Raw genomic sequence first — 18,445 nt, forward strand, 5'->3', positions numbered from 1 at the left:
ATTAGCCAGGTGTGGTGGCAGGCACTTGTAATTCCAACTACTTGGGAGGCTGAGGCAGGAGAATCACTTGAACCTGGGAGGCGGTGGTTGCAGTGAGCCAAGGTCATGCCATTGCACTCTAGTTTGGGCGATGGAGTGTATATATATATATATATATATATATATATATACACACACACACACACACACACACATTAACTCATGCATATATGCAGATTGTCATCTATTATCTATCTAGCTATCATCTGTCTGCCTGCCTATCTATCTCTCTCTCCCTCCCAAACAATACATTCTAGATAGGCACTTCGTTGTGTCTTGCTTTTGCTTTAACTGTTCTCTGCCTACTTCACTCTTAGGTCATATTTTTTCATTTGATCTGTTTTTTCCATGGGATTTTTTATTTCCCATGGTAGAAAGTAGTAGGATCTCCTGCTTGCCTATTACTGAGCGAGTTTTACCTACAGCTCCAGAGGTTAATGTGTATTCACATATATTTATATCTCCATCAAAATCTATCTATCTGGTAAAAGACTGCAAGTTCATACTAATACCTCCAATTCCAATCCAGCAACACAGGATTTATTCTAGTCTTCATTTTCCTTTTTACTGTTTGTCCTTCTTTCTTCATTAGTGAAAAACCTGCCTTTCATTATCTGTAAACTACTTATTTGCTTAACATTAGAATACAATTAAAGTATATTTAAATTTTCTAACCTGTGCCCCTTCAAGAAACAAGTTTACTAACCTGAGTACAGTATTCAGGTATGGTTCCTTCTGTCTTTAGCCTCAAAATGTCCAGTTAAAATTCTGCTTTAAAAATGTACTAAGGTTAGTTGTCTTTTTCCCTAATCCCTTTACTATGGTTAAAAAGGATATTATGAAACAGAGACTGCAGTACTCTAGTCATGAAGATTTTTTGGAGGCTGGGGTGCAGTGGCACAAGCTCAGCTCACTGTAACCTCTGCCTCCCTGGTTCAAGCAATTCTCCTGCCTCAGCCTGCTGGGACTACAGGTGTGTGCCACCATGCCCGGCTAATTTTTGTATTTTTAGTAGAGACAAGTTTTCACTATATTGGCCAGGCTGATCTTGAACTCCTGACCTTAGGCGATCTTCTTGCTTCAACCTCCCAAAGTACTGGGATTACAGGCATGAGCAGTCATGAAGATTTTTAAAAACATATATTTCTTCAGGTATGCAACTATTGAAATTTATAGCAAACACCCCCAGTTTGTCTCCCAAATCTGACCTGTACCTGGCCTCTACTTTTCTTTCTTAGGACCTCTAAGAAATCTGTTTATTCTTTCTCTTTTCATTAAAATCCAATCCTTGATTCAGCTTCAGTTTCCCACTGGACACTCAAGGAAACAAGAGTCAACTGGCTATTTTTGCTTTCCCCAGGGCCACATAATTTGCTGTTAGCAAGCTTCTGTGACTCTCCATGTTTTTCTGATGTATGTCAGAACCTCAGGTAAAAGTTCAGCTACTAAAACTCTTATTTTGGGGAGGAAGCTAACAATGAAAGTTTTAGGAGACTCAAGACTTCTTTTCTCCACTGATTAGGTGGGTATGGCTGCAGACTGGCTAGTGATGACCGTTATATGGCATAGGCCTAGAGAAAGTTTGGTTAGATGAGAATAAAACTCCTTGGGCCCAGAATTCTTCTAGTAAGAAAGATCGATCTAGGACAGAGTTGCCAAGGGGATGTTTGTCATTTCCCCAGATAAACTACCACATTGAATTGTGGGAACAACGGAAATCCTTGCAAAAGACAGAATTCTGATGTCATCTCAGATTATTTTTTCTTCTAGCTTTGAAACATTGTTTTAGCTTTCACTGTTGTTACTTCTTTGACCGTGATCCCTCAGATCCAGCTAAGCACATCTTCACCAGCTCAGCCAGACACCGCTGGGGCCACACTCTATCCTGTGTGTCTCTGACTGCTTGCTTTCATGCCCAGTCATGACCCTAGTTTGCTGTCTCTGTTCTACTTTTGCTCATGTAGCAGCCCTACCCTAAACCCTGGTGGTGACTCTGATGCTGAGTGCACCCTTTACTTAACCCAAGCAAAACGGTCCAGGCAGGTACTTCTCTGTATCTTGTTTTCACTTTAATTGTCCTCTGCCTACTTGCTATTTTTTATTTGATCTGTTTTTCCGTGGGATTTTTGTTTCCATGGTAGAAAGTAGTAGGATCTCCTGTTTACCCATCACCAAGGGAGATTTACCTATAGCTCCAGAGATTAATATATATTCATATATATTTATATCTCCATCAAAATAGATACACAATAAATCCCGAGCCTGATCATAAGGAGGATGTGACACTGTGCCATCACCTACACTGTCATCTACAGTTATTAAGCTGTGAACTCTCTTCAGCGGCCTTTCCTCACCCTACTGATTTTCATACTGTTTCATTAACTCTCACTATCCACATTTTTTGGCTCTTTAGGCATACGTTTGTCCCAAAAGGGAGGGTTGAGGATTTTGGTCTGAGTGAATTATAAACCACAGGTCCTGTTGGCATAAACTAAATTATTTCTATCTGCTAAGCCTAGGTTCTTCCACCTCTATAAATCTCTAGAAACTTCCCCATGTATATCTTTAAATTTATTAATTTTACTCTGCACGAAGATTATTTATACTTCTTCAGTTACTTTGACTTACTCATCAGAACTGCTCGTGGCAATGAAACATTTAGTGAAAAACCATATAAAGACAATTAATTTGAGTTTCCCCCCATCTCTGTTCAGACGTGGGTTGGAGGCGTGGAGCGAGTCCAAGGGGAGAAAATTTGTGAGTAGATGGAACTCAGCTTTTGGGAAAGGGACTTTTAGTGCTGTCACTCATCAAGCTTTATTAGGCTTCTGATCAATTTCTAATTAAAGAAAACATGAATCCTCATATGACAAGGGGAAAAGGTGATTCCTAAGTAAAGTACTGAATGTCTTGTCTCTTAATTCCCAATTTATCAAAACAAATCAAAACACTCACTGGTAATTTTAATCTAGACCCCCACAATTTTTTTTTACAGGCCTTGTTTGCTTTTAGGTATAAGAAATCCCAAAAGTTCTTACATTTTTATTCTATTGTTCGAGATCATTTTGGAAAAAGAAATATGCTTCAGAACATTTGGTGAAAAGATGACAAATGTTAATTTTATTTTAGACTCTATAAATACAATTTTATATTATTTATTTGAGATGGATGTATTACTTTCAGATTTTTGCTCTGGTATAGCATAATAATTGATCCCATATTTCTCAGATAAGCCGGTAAGGAATATATCACTTTGATACAGTGTAACTCTATAGGAAAAAAACCCAGTATTTCTTTATGAAATACTAAACATAAGTTTGTTTAATCAAATTCCTTTGGAAGACAGGTGAGAAGGGAGAAGGTGGACAATTTATTATGAAATAATAATAAGATCAATTTCATGTCGACCAATTAGCAGAAATGCCAGTTTATCACATAACATGTGTGTCCATTTTATATAATTAAGTTTGTTTCTCAAACCAGATATTTATAAGTAAATTCTGGGCTTGTTTTATGTTTTCCCTCTATCATATAAATTATATTTATGGCTAATCCATTCACAGAACTACCAAGCGAGAGGGGATCTTAAAAATAATTTAGCTAACTTCCCATTTTATATACGGGGAAACTGAGGGAACAGTCAAGAGACTTAGTGTCTTTAGCTACTTTTCTACTCTCCTTAATAGCCTTTGCCTAATTCAAATAATACCATATTCCCTGATGTCACTTCCTGTATGCTCCTCTGCTTTTAAGCAGGTGTTTATCCCATATAAAGAAAATGGAGGTTGAGGGAGAAATAACCTACCAGATAATCGGTACACTTTTCTATGAAGATTTTGTGAATCTGGTAACACAATCCTTTGAAGCAGGATGAGGACGACCTGTTCCACTATCACCTGGCTCCTTCCTTCTTGAATAAGAGTGTGAACACTGGAGGGGGTCAGCTGATGCTTATTCCAGTCTTTCCACCTGGATGCTACCTCCTTTGCAACACATATTTGAGTTTATGCTTTCCATTTATTGTTCCAGTAAAGACTTGGCAGAAGTGTGATATAAGACAACTACTATGGTGTCAAATAAGGCACATCACTGATGGGTGCATTTCATAAAGTTACTTAAAGGGAACTTTAGCAAATAGAGATAAGAGCTGGAATGGAGGCAGAGTCTTAGTGAGTGGAAGTGCCATGCAGTGGAAAGAAGGCTGGTCGAGAAATTCAGTCTGAGCACTGCTTCTCTACTTGTCATGAGTTATGTGATGTTGGGCTAGCCAGTTAAACTTCCTGGGACTAGTTTTCTGAAAATGATAAATGAGAAAGTGGATTAGATGAGTAGTTGGTAAACTCAAACGCCTTCGAGGGCCGTGGGGTTAAAACAAGAACTTGAAATGGCTAAGTATAAAACAATGAGGAGCTATAGAGACTGTGAAGGGTGTGCACATACCCTAAACACATTCAAATGAAAATTGATTGAAAACATTGTACTAGGTATTGGTGAAGATGTAGAGTAACTAGAATTCATATATTGCTGGGGAGTATATACATTAGTTCAGTTGTTTTGGAAAACTGGTTGGCAGTTAAAAGTATAATTTTAAACTATTACTTAAGAGCTCACAATTTAACTCCTGTGTAGAAACACATCAGAAATCAATGTTTATGTCCACCAAAAAACATATAAAAAAACTTCTCAGAGCAGCTTTATTCAGGCACGAAAGGCTATATATTATTCCATCTGTGCAAAATTTAAAAATAATCAAAATTATTCTGGGGTGATAGTTGTCAGAATAGAAGTCATTTTGGGTTATTTTGGTTACGTAAGAGTGGTATAAGGGACCATATATTCACATGCACGTATATGTTCATCACAGCACTACTCACAACACCAAAGACATGGAATCAACCCAGATATCCATCAGTGGTGGACTGGATAAAGAAAATGTGGTATGTATACACCATGGAAACGTGGCATATATGCAGCCGTGGAAAAGAATGAGATTATGTCCTTTGCAGCAACATGGATGGAGCTGGAAGCCATTACTCTTAGTCAATTAATGCAGGAACAGAAGACCAAATGTTGTGTGTTCTCTCTTGTAAGTGGGAACTAAACATTAGGTACACATGAACACAAAGACAAGAACAATAGACACTGAGGCCTACTTGAGGGTGAAGGGTGGGAGGAGGGTGAGAATCAGAAAATACCTATCAGGTATTATGCTCATTACCTGGGTGATGAAATAATCTGTATGTCAAACCCCCCACAATACGCAATTTACTCAGGTAACAAACCTGCACATATACCCCCTAAATCTAAAATAAAAGTTAGAAAAAGAACTTTATTTTTTTATCCATTACAATTTTTTAGAACATTTTATACAATAATTTTTATTCAACATTGCAACACCATGTAAATCTTATTTCTATTTTTGATCATAAATTTGTTATTTCTGAAGATAACATATTTAAAGAAAATTAAAACACCCCATCAAACACACACACACACACACACACACACACACACACACACACACACATGCACACCCCACCTCCCCACACACAGAGTGGTATAAGAAGCTTTGTGAGAATTTTCTGTATCTTGATTGGGGTGTAGTTATATTAGAATATACATATATAAAAGTTCACTTAAGATGTGGACACTTCACTGTAGCTAAGTCGTATCTTGATATATAGAAAGAAAAAAGTAAAAAAGGAAGAAAGAGAAGAATTAAGAAAATAAAAAGAAACATTTTGTTGGGGAAAATAAAACCATCTCCATAGATAGAATTCTGCCGAGAGACTGCCACTTTTCTATTCCTGGATTTGGTGATCTTTAAAATCCTCTTCAGCTATAACAGGCAATGATTGTTTGAATGAGAAAAAGTGTAAGGTGAAAATTTGAGAATGGCAAAGTAAAGTTAACACCAACTTTTATGGCCCAATATTATGATTGTCAATGGGCGCATTAACAAGAAAATGATACTAACTATAAAAATTCTAAATTGCTGTGTCAGGTCCCCACTTTCCTTACCTGAAAGCTATGGTTACCTTGTGCATCATAACACTGACTGTAAATTAGGAAACTCATTTTACTTCCTCCATCTGCAGAGACCAGTGCTTAAAGAGGGTGCATTTGAAATGGATTTTACAATTCAAATTTAGTTACACAAAGGCTTACCACTCTGAGCAAAAATAAAAATCTTCCCTCTGCTATTGTAATCAAAACAATACCCTGAGCTTACAGCTCTGTGTACGTATTGCAACCAGAGTGATTTAGGTTAAACTCTGATTCAAACATCTAAGAAATTTAGGAGCAGGTAAAACCAGCATCTGCTTTATTGGTATATTTGGTGGGAGGGAAGGAATTGTTACCCACATGTTCAGAAGAACATCACCTTCTTCCCACAGCTTTTTAAAAAAATTTTTATTTTACTTTAAGTTCCAGATATATGTGCAGAACGTGCAGGTTTGTTACACAGGTATGCATGTGCCGTGGTGGTTTGCTGCACCTATCAACCCATCATCTAGGTTTTAAGCCCCACATGCATTAGGTTTTAAGCAGTGACGGGAAATCCACAGTCATGCTTTACAAGAAATTATAATATTGAGTTATCATACCTTGGCATGATTATACTTTCTTTTGTATAAATATGGCCTCTAATTTAAGATTTTAAAACTCTGAAGAAATAAAAGAGCTAGCATTTACTTTGTTTTATCTATGTATTTTTAAACTTTTAGATTCAGGGGTACACGTGAAGGTTTGTTACCTAGGTAAACTCATGTCATGCAGGTTTGTTGTACGATTATTTCATCACCCAGGTATTAAGCCCAGTAACCAATAGTTATCTTGCCTGCTACTCTCTCTTCTCCCACCCTCAGCCCTTAAGTAGACCCCAGTGTTTGTTTCCTTCTTTGTGGTCATGAGTTCTCATAATTTAGCTCCCACTTATAAGTGAGAACATGCAGTACTTGGTTTTCTGTTCCTGCGTTAGTTTGTTAAAGATAGTAGCCTCCAGCTCTGACCGTGTTCCCACAAAAGACATAATCTCATTGTTTTTTGTGGCTGAAGAGTATACATATAGGGTATATGTATCACATTTTCTTTATCCAGCCTGTCATTGATTCCATGTCTTTGCTATTGTGAGTAGTGCTGCAGTGAACATTTGCTTGCATGTGTCTTTATGATAGAATGATTTATATTCCTCTGGATATGTGCCTAGTAATGTGATTGCTGGGCTGAATGGTAGAGCTGCTTTTAGCTCTTTGAGGAATCGCCACACACTGCCTTCCACAATGGTTGAACTAATTTACACTTCCACCAACAGTGTATAAGTGTTCCTTTTCCTCCGCAACCTCGCCAGTATCTGCTATCTTTTGACTCTTTAATAGCCAAAACTAGCATTTATTGAGCTTATAATATGTATACAGCTCTTAACTTCTGTCCTTCACTGAATTCTAAAACACGCTTTCACAGGAGAAAAAAGTGAGCCTTTGGGAATATAAACACCTAGCTCTCGGTGAGATACTCAGAATTTACCTTGAATTTGTCTGACTTTAAAGCTTGTTTTCCTTCTACTGCATCCTTCCAGTGGCTCCTTTAAAGGAAGAATTGACATTTAAAACAATTTGTGGCCAGGTGTGGTGGCTCACACCTGTAATCCTAGCACTTGGGATGTCGAGGTGGGCAGATCACGAGGTCAGGAGATCGAGACCATCCTGGCCAACATGATGAAACCCTGTCTGTACTAAAAATACAAAAATTAGCTGGGTGTGGTGGCACACGCCTGTAATCCCAGCTACTCAGGAGGCTGAGGTGGGAGAATCTCTTGAACCTGGAAGGCGGTGGTTGCAGTGAGCCGAAATCATACCACTGCACTCCAGCCTGGCGACAAAGCGAGACTCAGAGCAACAACAACAACAAACAAACAAAACAATTTGCTCTGTGTTTGGACTCACCTACAACTTTAAGTAAATGTTAAAGTACTGGCATAAATATTAGACCACAGAGTTAGTTTTCCAATAGATATCACTTGTTTCCATTTCCTATGAATTGAAGTTACTTCATTTTTTCTTCTTTCTGTTTGGTAGAAGTTTGACCTCAGTCAATTCAAGTTGTACCTAATTTTGGGTAATCCCCATTCGTGAGGTTACCCATTAATCTTGGAGGGTTGATGAGTGTGGTGCTTGTTTATTATCTGTTCAGGCTGGCCTGTGTCACCAGACCACGTGGGTTATAGCCGTGTCATTCAGAGTTTAGGATATTCTCAGGTGTGACTCCATGTCTGATACTTCCTTGATCCTCTGTAAGACTTGGGGAAATTTGAATACTTTTTTTTACTGTTCTCTAGGTCAAGGGAAACTCTGCAGGCTGTCTCTGGCCATGGTGCCATATCTTTTCTACTGATCCTTAACACTACAGAAGTTTGCCTGTTTGTTGGGATGGGGGTTGTTGAGAACAGGGAGAGGACTTTGGGCTCTTGTGCTTTTCTAAGCTCTTTTCTCTTGAATATTTAAATATTTAGGGTGTTGTCACTTTCCCTTCCTCACCCTTATGACAGAAACCTTATAGTTGAGGAAAGGAGGATGGTAAAGGTATTAAATAGCACATCCTTGGAAATCATTTTCATGTTATACGGAGACTTATTTTGGCTCCCTCAATCGGTTAACCCATAACAACTCTCCCTAGAGAAAATGAATGTTCAATTGGGATTAGAGAAAACAATGGGGGGAAAAACCCCCATATAGACTGTGAAATGTTAAACATATTCTCTATGTCATGCATATAATCAACACTCGGTTAATACTTATTAAGTTAAATGAAATATTACAGCAGAGGTAATATATTTGTCAACCTAAGGATTTTCAAAGCTGGATGAGCATCAAAGTCACCTGGGAAGATTTTAAAATTCAGATTTTTAGGCTCCATCCTTGGAGTTTCAAACCTAATAGATGTGAAGAGCAGTTGATAAATTCTGTTAAAAAAACAAACAAAAATACCTCACGTAATTGGACAAATTTGAGAACTACCAGCTTAGCTGATCTGACTACCCAAGTTTATTCAGTATTACCCTATGAAGTGCAGAGCAGGGTCCTAAGAAAATAGAATATTGATAAGCATTTTGGTAGTAAAAGAAATATGAATATATCTGAAACTTAGTAGAACATGCTTGGAAATATGGAATATAAACTTCTTTTGTGCATACATTTTATTTGTCTCAAGATCAAGGAATGGATTTGGGGCATTTATAACCCTACCTCTTCAGAGACTCTTTACCTTCTTGATTTTTAATCCTCTCTCCACATCAAAACAGGCAGAATTTGATGTAATTTACTTTAGCAATAAAACTAATTTATATACATGTGTTAATTCCAAAGTCATTTGAAGTTTAGCCTTTTATTTTTAATATTCAAATATAAGATTTGAGTTCTAGTAAAAGATTAGTTGGAGAACCAGTCTGAGAGATGTTTTTAGAGCTGGAATGGCCTTCTTGTTTCAAAAATCCTACTGCATTTGAGGCTTGCTTTAAAATTAAACGTGCTTTAGTAATTTTAGTTATATCATGGTGGTGGTGATGGAGGAGGAGGATGGAGGAGAGAAGACAACAAAAAGCCCAGGATAATCCCACTTGCTTGTTTCCTTTCATGTTAATTAATTCATGCATTTGTCCAAATACTTATTGATAGACATCGTTGCCAGTAATCAGAAACAAGATCAGTGTATTAGTCAGGGTTCTCCAGAGAGATAGAACCAATAGGGTGTACCTGTGTGTGTGTGTGTGTGTGTGTGTGTGTGTGTGTTTCTGTGAGTACATATCTGTGTGTGTATATATACATATATATACATTTATATTCTATAAATAGAATACATATATGTGTATATATGTATAAGTGTATTCTATATGTATTCTACTTATATGCATTTATATATATACATGCCCACATAAGTATTCTATATATTTGTATTATTTTACATATACGGAAACACATATATGTATTCTATTTATGTGTGTGTATATATATGTATATATGAACATATTCTATTGTATTCTATATGTGTTCTATTTATATATGTGTGTATACATATAAATAGAATACATATATATGTTTGTCTATATACATGTAAAATATGTACAAGAGGGGATTTATTAGAAGCACTGTCTCCATGATTACAGAGGCTGAGAAGTCCCATGACAGGCCACCTGCAAATTGGATATCCTGGACTGCCAGTAGGGTGGTTCAGTTCAATTCGAAAAGCCTCAGAATCCGGAAAGCTGGTAGTGTAACGTCTAGTCTAAGTCTAAAGGCTTGAGAGCCAGGGGTTGAGGTGGGCACCACTGGTATAAGTCTTGGAGTCCAAAGGCTGGAGAACAGGGAGTTCTGATGTCCAAGGGCAGGAGGAGGAGAGCGTGCCAGTTCCAGGGGGACGAGAGAGACCCATTCACCTTTCCTCTATTATTGTACTATCCAAGCTTCCAGCCAATTGTGTGGTGCCCACCCACATGCAGGTGTATCTTCTCCACTCAGTCCACTCAGACTCACACGTCAATCTCCTCTGGAAATACCCTCACAGAGACACCCCCCAAATAATCTTTTACCAGCTTTCTAGGTATTTCTTAACCCAGTTGACACCTAAAAGTAACTGTCACAAACAGTAAGATGTGGCTTTGACTTGGGAAAACCTATAGTCCAGGGAAGGAGATGGATATACAAAAATTTCAAAAAAACCTAAGTGGTATGTTAGAAGGTCCCAGTGGATCATTACGTGCAACATATAGCCATGTTTAGGGACACTAAGAAATGTTTTCTAGAGACAATGAATGCAAGTGGAGTCTTGAAGAATGAATACAGTCTTCTGGTGAAGGGGATGCAGAGAGGGAAGGGCACTTCATGAAGAAGAAACAATGTGCAAAGGCGGAGTTAGGAAAGTAAAGGGTGTGTGTTTGGAGACAGTATTGTTAACTTGATAGAGCTGGAAAATGAGGAGAATGGCAGGATACAGGGCTTGCATAGGTTTGGAAAGGGCCCAGTATTACATCAATGATGTTAAACTTGGTTCTGTGGGCAGTAGGGGACATATCAAAGGTTTTTAAGGAGAGGAGTGACATGACAAGGTTTATAGAAAAAAAATATATACTCCAAGTCCGTGGGGGATGAATTAGAGGGAGGAGGTGGTGGGGCAGAAAGACAAGTTAATACAGGAGCCAGAAGATGAATGCTTAAAATAAAACAATTACATAGAAAATGAGAGAAAAGATGATTTGGAAAGTAAAGAATTAGAATTGACAGGACTTGATATGAGAACATCTCTATTCTTAGTTTGGATTCTCTCAGATGCTAACCCTGAGATAAGGACATGAGTGGATGAAGCACAGAAAATGCTGGAAGGGAAGTGGGAGAGGGGCGAGGTGGGGGCAATGGGGCTAGTGGTGCCTTGCTTCCTAATGACCACAGCAAAACTCAAGGGAACCTGGGAAGATGTGCAGAATATGATCCTCAGAATTCTCCCTCTTGGGGAGTGAGGGAACTTCACCTTCAAGTGGAGTGACGGAGAGGGGAAAGTTGTGCTGATTTGAAGAGTGAATGGGAAGCCCGAAAATAATAAAAATGAGTCTAAAATCGGTTTAATCTATTGTTGAGGAGAAAGAGTGAAGGCAGCAGTTTGAGAAAGACACAAAACCAATTTCAAAAACTGGGGAGATTGAAGTTTCCTTTTTGGCCAAAGGGAACAACTTAGCAGAAAGAGACCGAAGATGAGAGAGAGAGAGAGAGAGACTTGCCATTATGGATGGAAAACATTTCCGGACATGTTGGAGTTGCAACTGCCAAGCCACAGCTTCAGCAGCTGCCTCTTCTGAGAGAAGTGGATGGACACTTTGTCCTCTCAGGTGAAATGGAGAGAAGTGAGCATTGGGGAAGCATACAGATACATTTTTAGGTGGAGGGAAGCTCAGTGGAAGGAGTTCATGTTTCTGTGCAGTAAGAAAAAGAACATGAATGAACCTAGGATAGCAATGTATCTTCGTCACAGATGGGAAGAGCAGGAGGCTTCTTTGTCACTGGATCCCTAACATCCTGAAGTGTGGATGGAAAGAAAGACTCCCCCTAAACAGTTATTGAGTTTAATGAAAGAACTAAAAGTGAATCACACTTCACCGATGCTAAGAAGCAGGCGGCTTCTTTGTTCATCACTGGATCCCTAACATCCTGAAGTGTGACTGGAAAGCAAGAATACCCCTAAATAGTTATTGAGTTTGATGAAAGAACTAAAAGTGCATCATACTATACTAACAGGAAAAGTGTAAAAAATATCTGTGTTCAAATCCCATCTTGCTGTATCACATTGAATAAATTACTTAATGTTAATTCCGAGAGATACAATGAGTATTCAATATTATTTGGTAGATGGCAAAATAAGAAGTAATTATACATGATTTTTATTCTGCTTGTTATACATCTCAAATAGTAAGTATACCTTGATTGTAGGGTATGAACATTTCATGAACTTTCCTCTTTGTTCTGCCCTATTATAAAGGAAAGTATACATTAAAGCTTGACTTTTTATTCAAGGACTCTTAAATGTTATAATATTCTCCAATAAAATAAAAACAAATTATTTGAAAACAAAGAATTTGTCATCCTAAGGTGAAATATGCGTGAACATATTTTCTCATTCTATCGGAATTAAATATAGTACCCAAAGTTTGAAACGGAGGTTATTTAATGATGTTGGATTTTAAAACTTCCCTAAATGTTATTCAGCACCAGGTGGGATCGCTAATTTCACAGCTGAATTAATATACAGCAGGTTTCTGAGAAGTTAGAGAAAGAAGAGAAATCAATAGAGTGAGGTTTAATCAAGATAAATGGAAAGCAATCCACTAGGGAAAGACCAAATCTGAAGGGGAAAAAAAATAATATAAGCCAGAAAATGTAGGTTAGAAGTCATTAATGTGAGTGGAAAAAAAGGTGCTAAGGTGATGGTTATTAATAAATTTGATGTGAGCTCACAATGAGATCCTACTGCAAAACTGGATGAATGTCATGTAAGAAAGTCTTCAACGGTATATGTAAGAGTGGGGGAATAAATATCCCCTCCCCACCTTTTTTTTTTAAAGCAGATTTTTGAGTCTATATATAAAACAATTCAGTTATCCTATGGCCCTCACTTTCTGCTTCTTGAAATGGCTGTGAGATTTAAGACACAAGGCAAAACAACAACGAAAGTCGTCCACATAACTGGAGAATTATCAGGCCTGTTGCATCACACTGGACCACTTGCTCTTCCTCAGACTGCTGTATCTCATTACCCTTCTGTGCCTTTGCTGGTTTGTTTTTTTCTTTTTTCCCCCTCTGCCTGCTCCTACACTCCTCCATTCTCTGGGTACAGAAATTCATTTCATTCATCTAGGGCAACCTCAAATGTAACCCCATTGGTGAAGACTTTTTTGAATTCAGCTGCTGTCTGCAATATGCTATACTGCCTTCTGTCTGACTGCCTTCCCATGAGAAGCAGGATGGGGTGGGAGGAAAGTACTAGAATGGGAGAGGAGGTGAAGCGGGGCATGTGCTATGGGTTTGACTTGGGCAAGGCTGGGTCTAGAAATTTCAGAATTACCTATATTTAAGGATCTTTACACTATAGGATCACAAGTAGAAAGCACACTCTGTGAGAGATGCTCTTGAGGATACAGAGATGCTTGGGGGATAAATGACTTCAATAGACTTCCTTGAAAGCATATCATTAGATCTCTACACCAGTTATCAAGGTTTTGTCTCTCAGCTCCAAATGCTTGATTAAAGGGGGGCAGAACATAAGACTAGATTAGCAAAATTCATCTGCTTGGTAGTTCTTTTTCTGGGACATGGATTTAATACCTCATCAAGGACCTCAGGCGAGGAGGTGTACTCTTGCCAAAGGACACAAAAATAGTAGGAATATTGCTCCTTCCCATATACTCAGTGATATGGAAGGCTGTCAGTATTGAGTGGCTCTGCAGAAGATTCAGACTGTCTTTGGATTTGGGTCATATAATCCAATTGACCCTATAATATTGGTACTAGTGGTGATAAAAGATTCTGTGTAGATTTCACGGCAATTCCCAATGAGAAAAGCACAACACAGGCCCCTGGAATTTGAAGCCAGACCATGGCAATTGCAGCAGAGAATTATAAGTCATTTTAGAAACAGTTCCTCATATGTAGGGATCCTGGTAGAGACTGAACCCTTCAGCGTGAGTCACCAAGTGACGATGCATCTTGAACTACCTATCATGGGCTAAGTGAAGTAGGAACTGCAGAGTCAAGAAGTCAGATGAGTCAGCAGCACTGGATCACAAGATGGAAATGGTGCACCTAGAACCAAATCCAGGAAGGGCCAGAGGACATGAGTAAGATGCATAAGCAGGTAACTCAGATACCCACGACAGTACAGCACCAGACCTTTCACTTACTACAGTGGTCATGTGGTGGGTCTGGTATGACCGGCTAAACAAAGAGGGGGCAGTCTAAGTTTTGTTTATGAATGAGTCTGCTTGGTATGTGTGTGGAAGCTGAAAATGGATAGCGGCTACATTATAGCCACACTCAAAGATGGCTTTGAAGATAGTGGAGAGGGAAAATCTATCACACATTGATGCTACCAGGAGGCATTCACTGTGAATGGGTCATGGAACACCAAGGAGACAAAATGGCATGGCCAGTCAGTGTTATCCAGCCTTTGTCACCAGCCTTCCTGGATCTGGCCCAATAAACACATTGCTGGAGTGGCCATTGTGTCAGAGATGAACACTGTGCATGGGCTTGACGACAGAGTCCCCATTTGCCAAAGGCTATCTGGACACTGGTGCCTCTGAATGTCTAACCTGATACCAACAAAGACCAACTTTGAGCCCTCTAGATGGCACTATTTTTTGAGGAATCTGATTTGGTGGCAAGGAGACTCCATCTTGGAAGGGATAGAGATTTGTCCAAAGAGACGCTTGTGTATTCTTGGTAAGAATTTGCCTTTCTGGCCCTTAGTGCTTCAGCTAGCACTGTCGTCCTGGAGCTTTTAGAATGTTTGATCCACAAGTGTGGAATCCTACTAATCATCCCAGGTGCGATCCACTTACAGCAAAGGAGGCGTGAGAATGGGCCTACAACCGCTGGATTTACTGGTTGTATCATATACTTACAGTATCAAGAAGTAACTGGCCTGTTGCTCTAACAGGCCTTCTAGCAATGGCCTTCTCAAGACATAGGTGAAGCTCCAGCTTGAAGGCAATAATCCGAAAGGATGAAGAAGCACCATACTCAGAATGCACACTATACATTTAAACAGAGACCTAAATGTGATGCTCTGCCAATAATAGGAAGAATATATGGGCCCAGGTACCAAGGTGGGTAGCAGAAGGGTTCCTCTTGCCATCATCTCTGACATACTGGAGGACATTGTACTTCTCATCCCTATAATTCTGGGCATTGCATTGCTAGAGTTCCTTGCCTAAAGTGAGAGGACTCTTACAAGGAGACATAGCAAGAGTTTCATTCAACTGGAACACTTTGGACATCTTGTGTTCAGGGTCTCACAGGTAAGAAGAGACTCATCATTTGGTAGAATAATTGACACTGATCAGCAGAAGGAGGTAGCGAAACTTTCAGACATTGATGGTTAGGAGGAATGTATAGAAAGCAAGTAATCTCTGAGCACATCTTGGTACTCTCTTATCTCAACATAAGTCTACATGGACCTATGCAGCAACTCTGAAGAAAGAACCGTGTGAAAACCAGGAGATCAGATCCTTCAGAAATGATATTTTGGGTCACACCACCAGGTAGGCCACCAGGACCTGTGAACGTGGTAACTGCGGGGAGGGAAATATAGAGAATCTCAAATTTGTTTTTCATGTTACTGATCTCATTTGCATTTTTGTTGTTTATTAACTGTGATGCTAATTTAATTTTGCAAATATATTTTAAATGCTTTACAGTTCTTATGCACCTCTCTGCTTTAAAATTCTTATTGTCTCTTTTTCAAAAATTTAAAACTGTGGAAGTTGATATGACTTCCTGCCAAAGTTTCACAGCAATTTTTTAAAAATATCTTTCTGAGGATTCTTCTACTTTACAACTTAGAAGTCTTCTCTTTGTCTAAGCCTTCTACAAGATGTTTTCTTTTCCTTGTCCTGCAGTATTCTGAATTCCTGTTTACGTATATATTTATATTTATATATTTATTTTCTGGGGGGGATGGAGTCTCGCTGTGTCCCCAGGCTGGAGTGCAGTGGTGTGATCTTGGCTCACTGCAACCTCTGCCTCCTGGGTTCCCGGATTCTCCTGCCTCAGCCTCCCAAGTAGCTGGGACTACAGGCGCGTGCCACCATACCTGGCTAATTTTTTTGTACTTTTAGTAGAGATGGGGTTTCACTGTGTTAGCCAGGATGGTCTCAGTCTCTTGACCTCATGATCCGCCTGCCTCGGCCTCCCAAAGTGCTGGGATTACAGGCGTGAGCCACTGTGCCTGGCCTTGTTTACTTATAGTTAAATGGTAAGAGCTCTATTCACATCTGGCAGTTGTCAACCACCAGGGTATATATATTGTCCTTGGCTTTAATCTCTGTCCATTTGGCAGTAGGTTAAAGCTCCTTTGCATATTTTTAGCAGCTTGGCAAGTTGATGTGTTCAGCTCAGACTGAAATTCTCTCTGTATAATGAGCTCCACATATTTTCTAGAACTATATTGGCTTTAAGTAGCAGAAATTCTCCTAGGAAGCTTCGGTAAAAGCAAAAACCAAGTTTAAGATGAAGATGCAAAAGTATATCTTGGAAACTGATGAGCAATAGAAACCATTGGTCACTTTCTTTGTCTCTTCTTTGCCTTGTGTTTGCTTCCTGCCATTCTCTTCCTGTCTCCCACCCTCCTCTTCTTGTTTCTGGCCAGTCTTCTCTAATTCATTCAACTCTCCTGCTATTCCAGCTGGTGTGGTCTGAACCATGACCATCATTAGCTCTCAAATAATGTGTCTTCTGTGGTGCGGCTAACCTGACTGATCTGAAATCTTCTTTTCAAATCTAAATTACCTAGGAAAGGAGTTTATTGGCTTAGTTATTTTTCTCCCATGGTGCAGTCAGCTGTTTCCCATGCAGTGCAGTCACATGGTATCAAAATAATCATTACCCACATGGAGGGGAGAAAAATGGTTCTCCGAGAAGTGTGTGCCATATGGTGGTGGGGCAAGGCAGGGGCTGAGGGGTAGGCAGGAGGGAGCTGGATTGGCAGTCTACTTACTAGGTGTTTATTCACTGTTATCCAGTGTGAACTCCTCTACCCTAGCTCCTTATACCTAGCTCCTTAACGATAGAAACAAATGGGAGAATGGAAAGTTCCGTCCACAGTAAACACTGCTGATAAGGCTCTTCTTGTTTCCATCATTGTCTACTCCTGACCCACCTGGTAGAAATTTCAGTTTCCAATTTTCCACCTGCCATTGCCAATTCCCTCATGTGCTGTTTATTGAAATTTGGAGTTTCTAACTGGATATAGGGAACTGGTATTGGATGGATAAGGGAATGTGTGAGGTTTGGAGCAATTTTCTGGTTTATTTTTTAAGGCATAGACAAAGAGGAAGGATGAAAAGGAGTATTTCTACTTATTTCCAGGTGGGTGGTGTCATAGCACAGGTGGCTCACAGTCCTGTTGTCCTTGTCATCGATGAAGATTTATTACAGATTTAGTAAGCTTTCACTTCTTGTTTACAATATTGTGAGTTTTCATCCTTTTTATTTTCTTAATTTGGTATTATATTTTGAAAGCGGAAGTGAGGCCAGTGTTAGGGTCCCTAACCCTAATCTGTTTAAAACTGAATATTGATTATACTATAATTTATTGGCCAAATGATTTCATTCTGTTTTGAAATAGATTGTTACCATTTTTATTTTTTTTACTAAGGAATCAGCATATACTTCAGTGTATACATAAAAAGACAAAACAATGATCATAATGAAAAACTACAGTTACACCTTTGGACTATAGAGTTTTCTCTCCTTTAATTTACATGTATTAGAAATGCTTTGCTAACTGAGAAGGACTAATTTTTCTATTAACTTGATTTTTCTTTATATGTAATTTCTGAATAGCAGAGCACTTTTAAACATAATTAAAAATAAAATAGGTTAAATAATTTAAAAAGTGATGCATTATTAAAAATAACCAGAATATCCATCTGTTGTGGCTAAATACATAATTTGTTTTAAAATATGGGTATGAAAAATACAGTAATTCATAAAATCAGCATGGGAAATAACTAAAAACTTTAAATAGGCTTTCCCACCTGGCTACTATTTTTGAAACGCTAGCAGGCTATAAAAGGAAATCAGTATTTGATAAAAAATTAGAAAACTGAGTAGAGATTTAGTTAAGTAAACCAAGAAAAGGATTT

At 38.7% G+C, this 18,445-nt stretch overlaps 1 long non-coding RNA gene across 1 annotated transcript; it reads left to right on the forward strand.

The window, feature by feature from the left end:
* Positions 1–15,120: 15,120 nt before the first annotated feature.
* On the forward strand, positions 15,121–17,720 carry LOC105375552 (uncharacterized). The gene is made up of 3 exons (XR_928091.2): positions 15,121–15,598; positions 15,747–15,841; positions 17,667–17,720. It is a non-coding gene; the product is annotated as an uncharacterized LOC105375552 (long non-coding RNA).
* The last annotated feature ends 725 nt before the right edge of the window (positions 17,721–18,445 follow it).

The sequence above is a fragment of the Homo sapiens genome, chromosome 7, assembly GCF_000001405.40.
Source record: "Homo sapiens chromosome 7, GRCh38.p14 Primary Assembly".
NCBI lineage: Eukaryota > Metazoa > Chordata > Mammalia > Primates > Hominidae > Homo > Homo sapiens.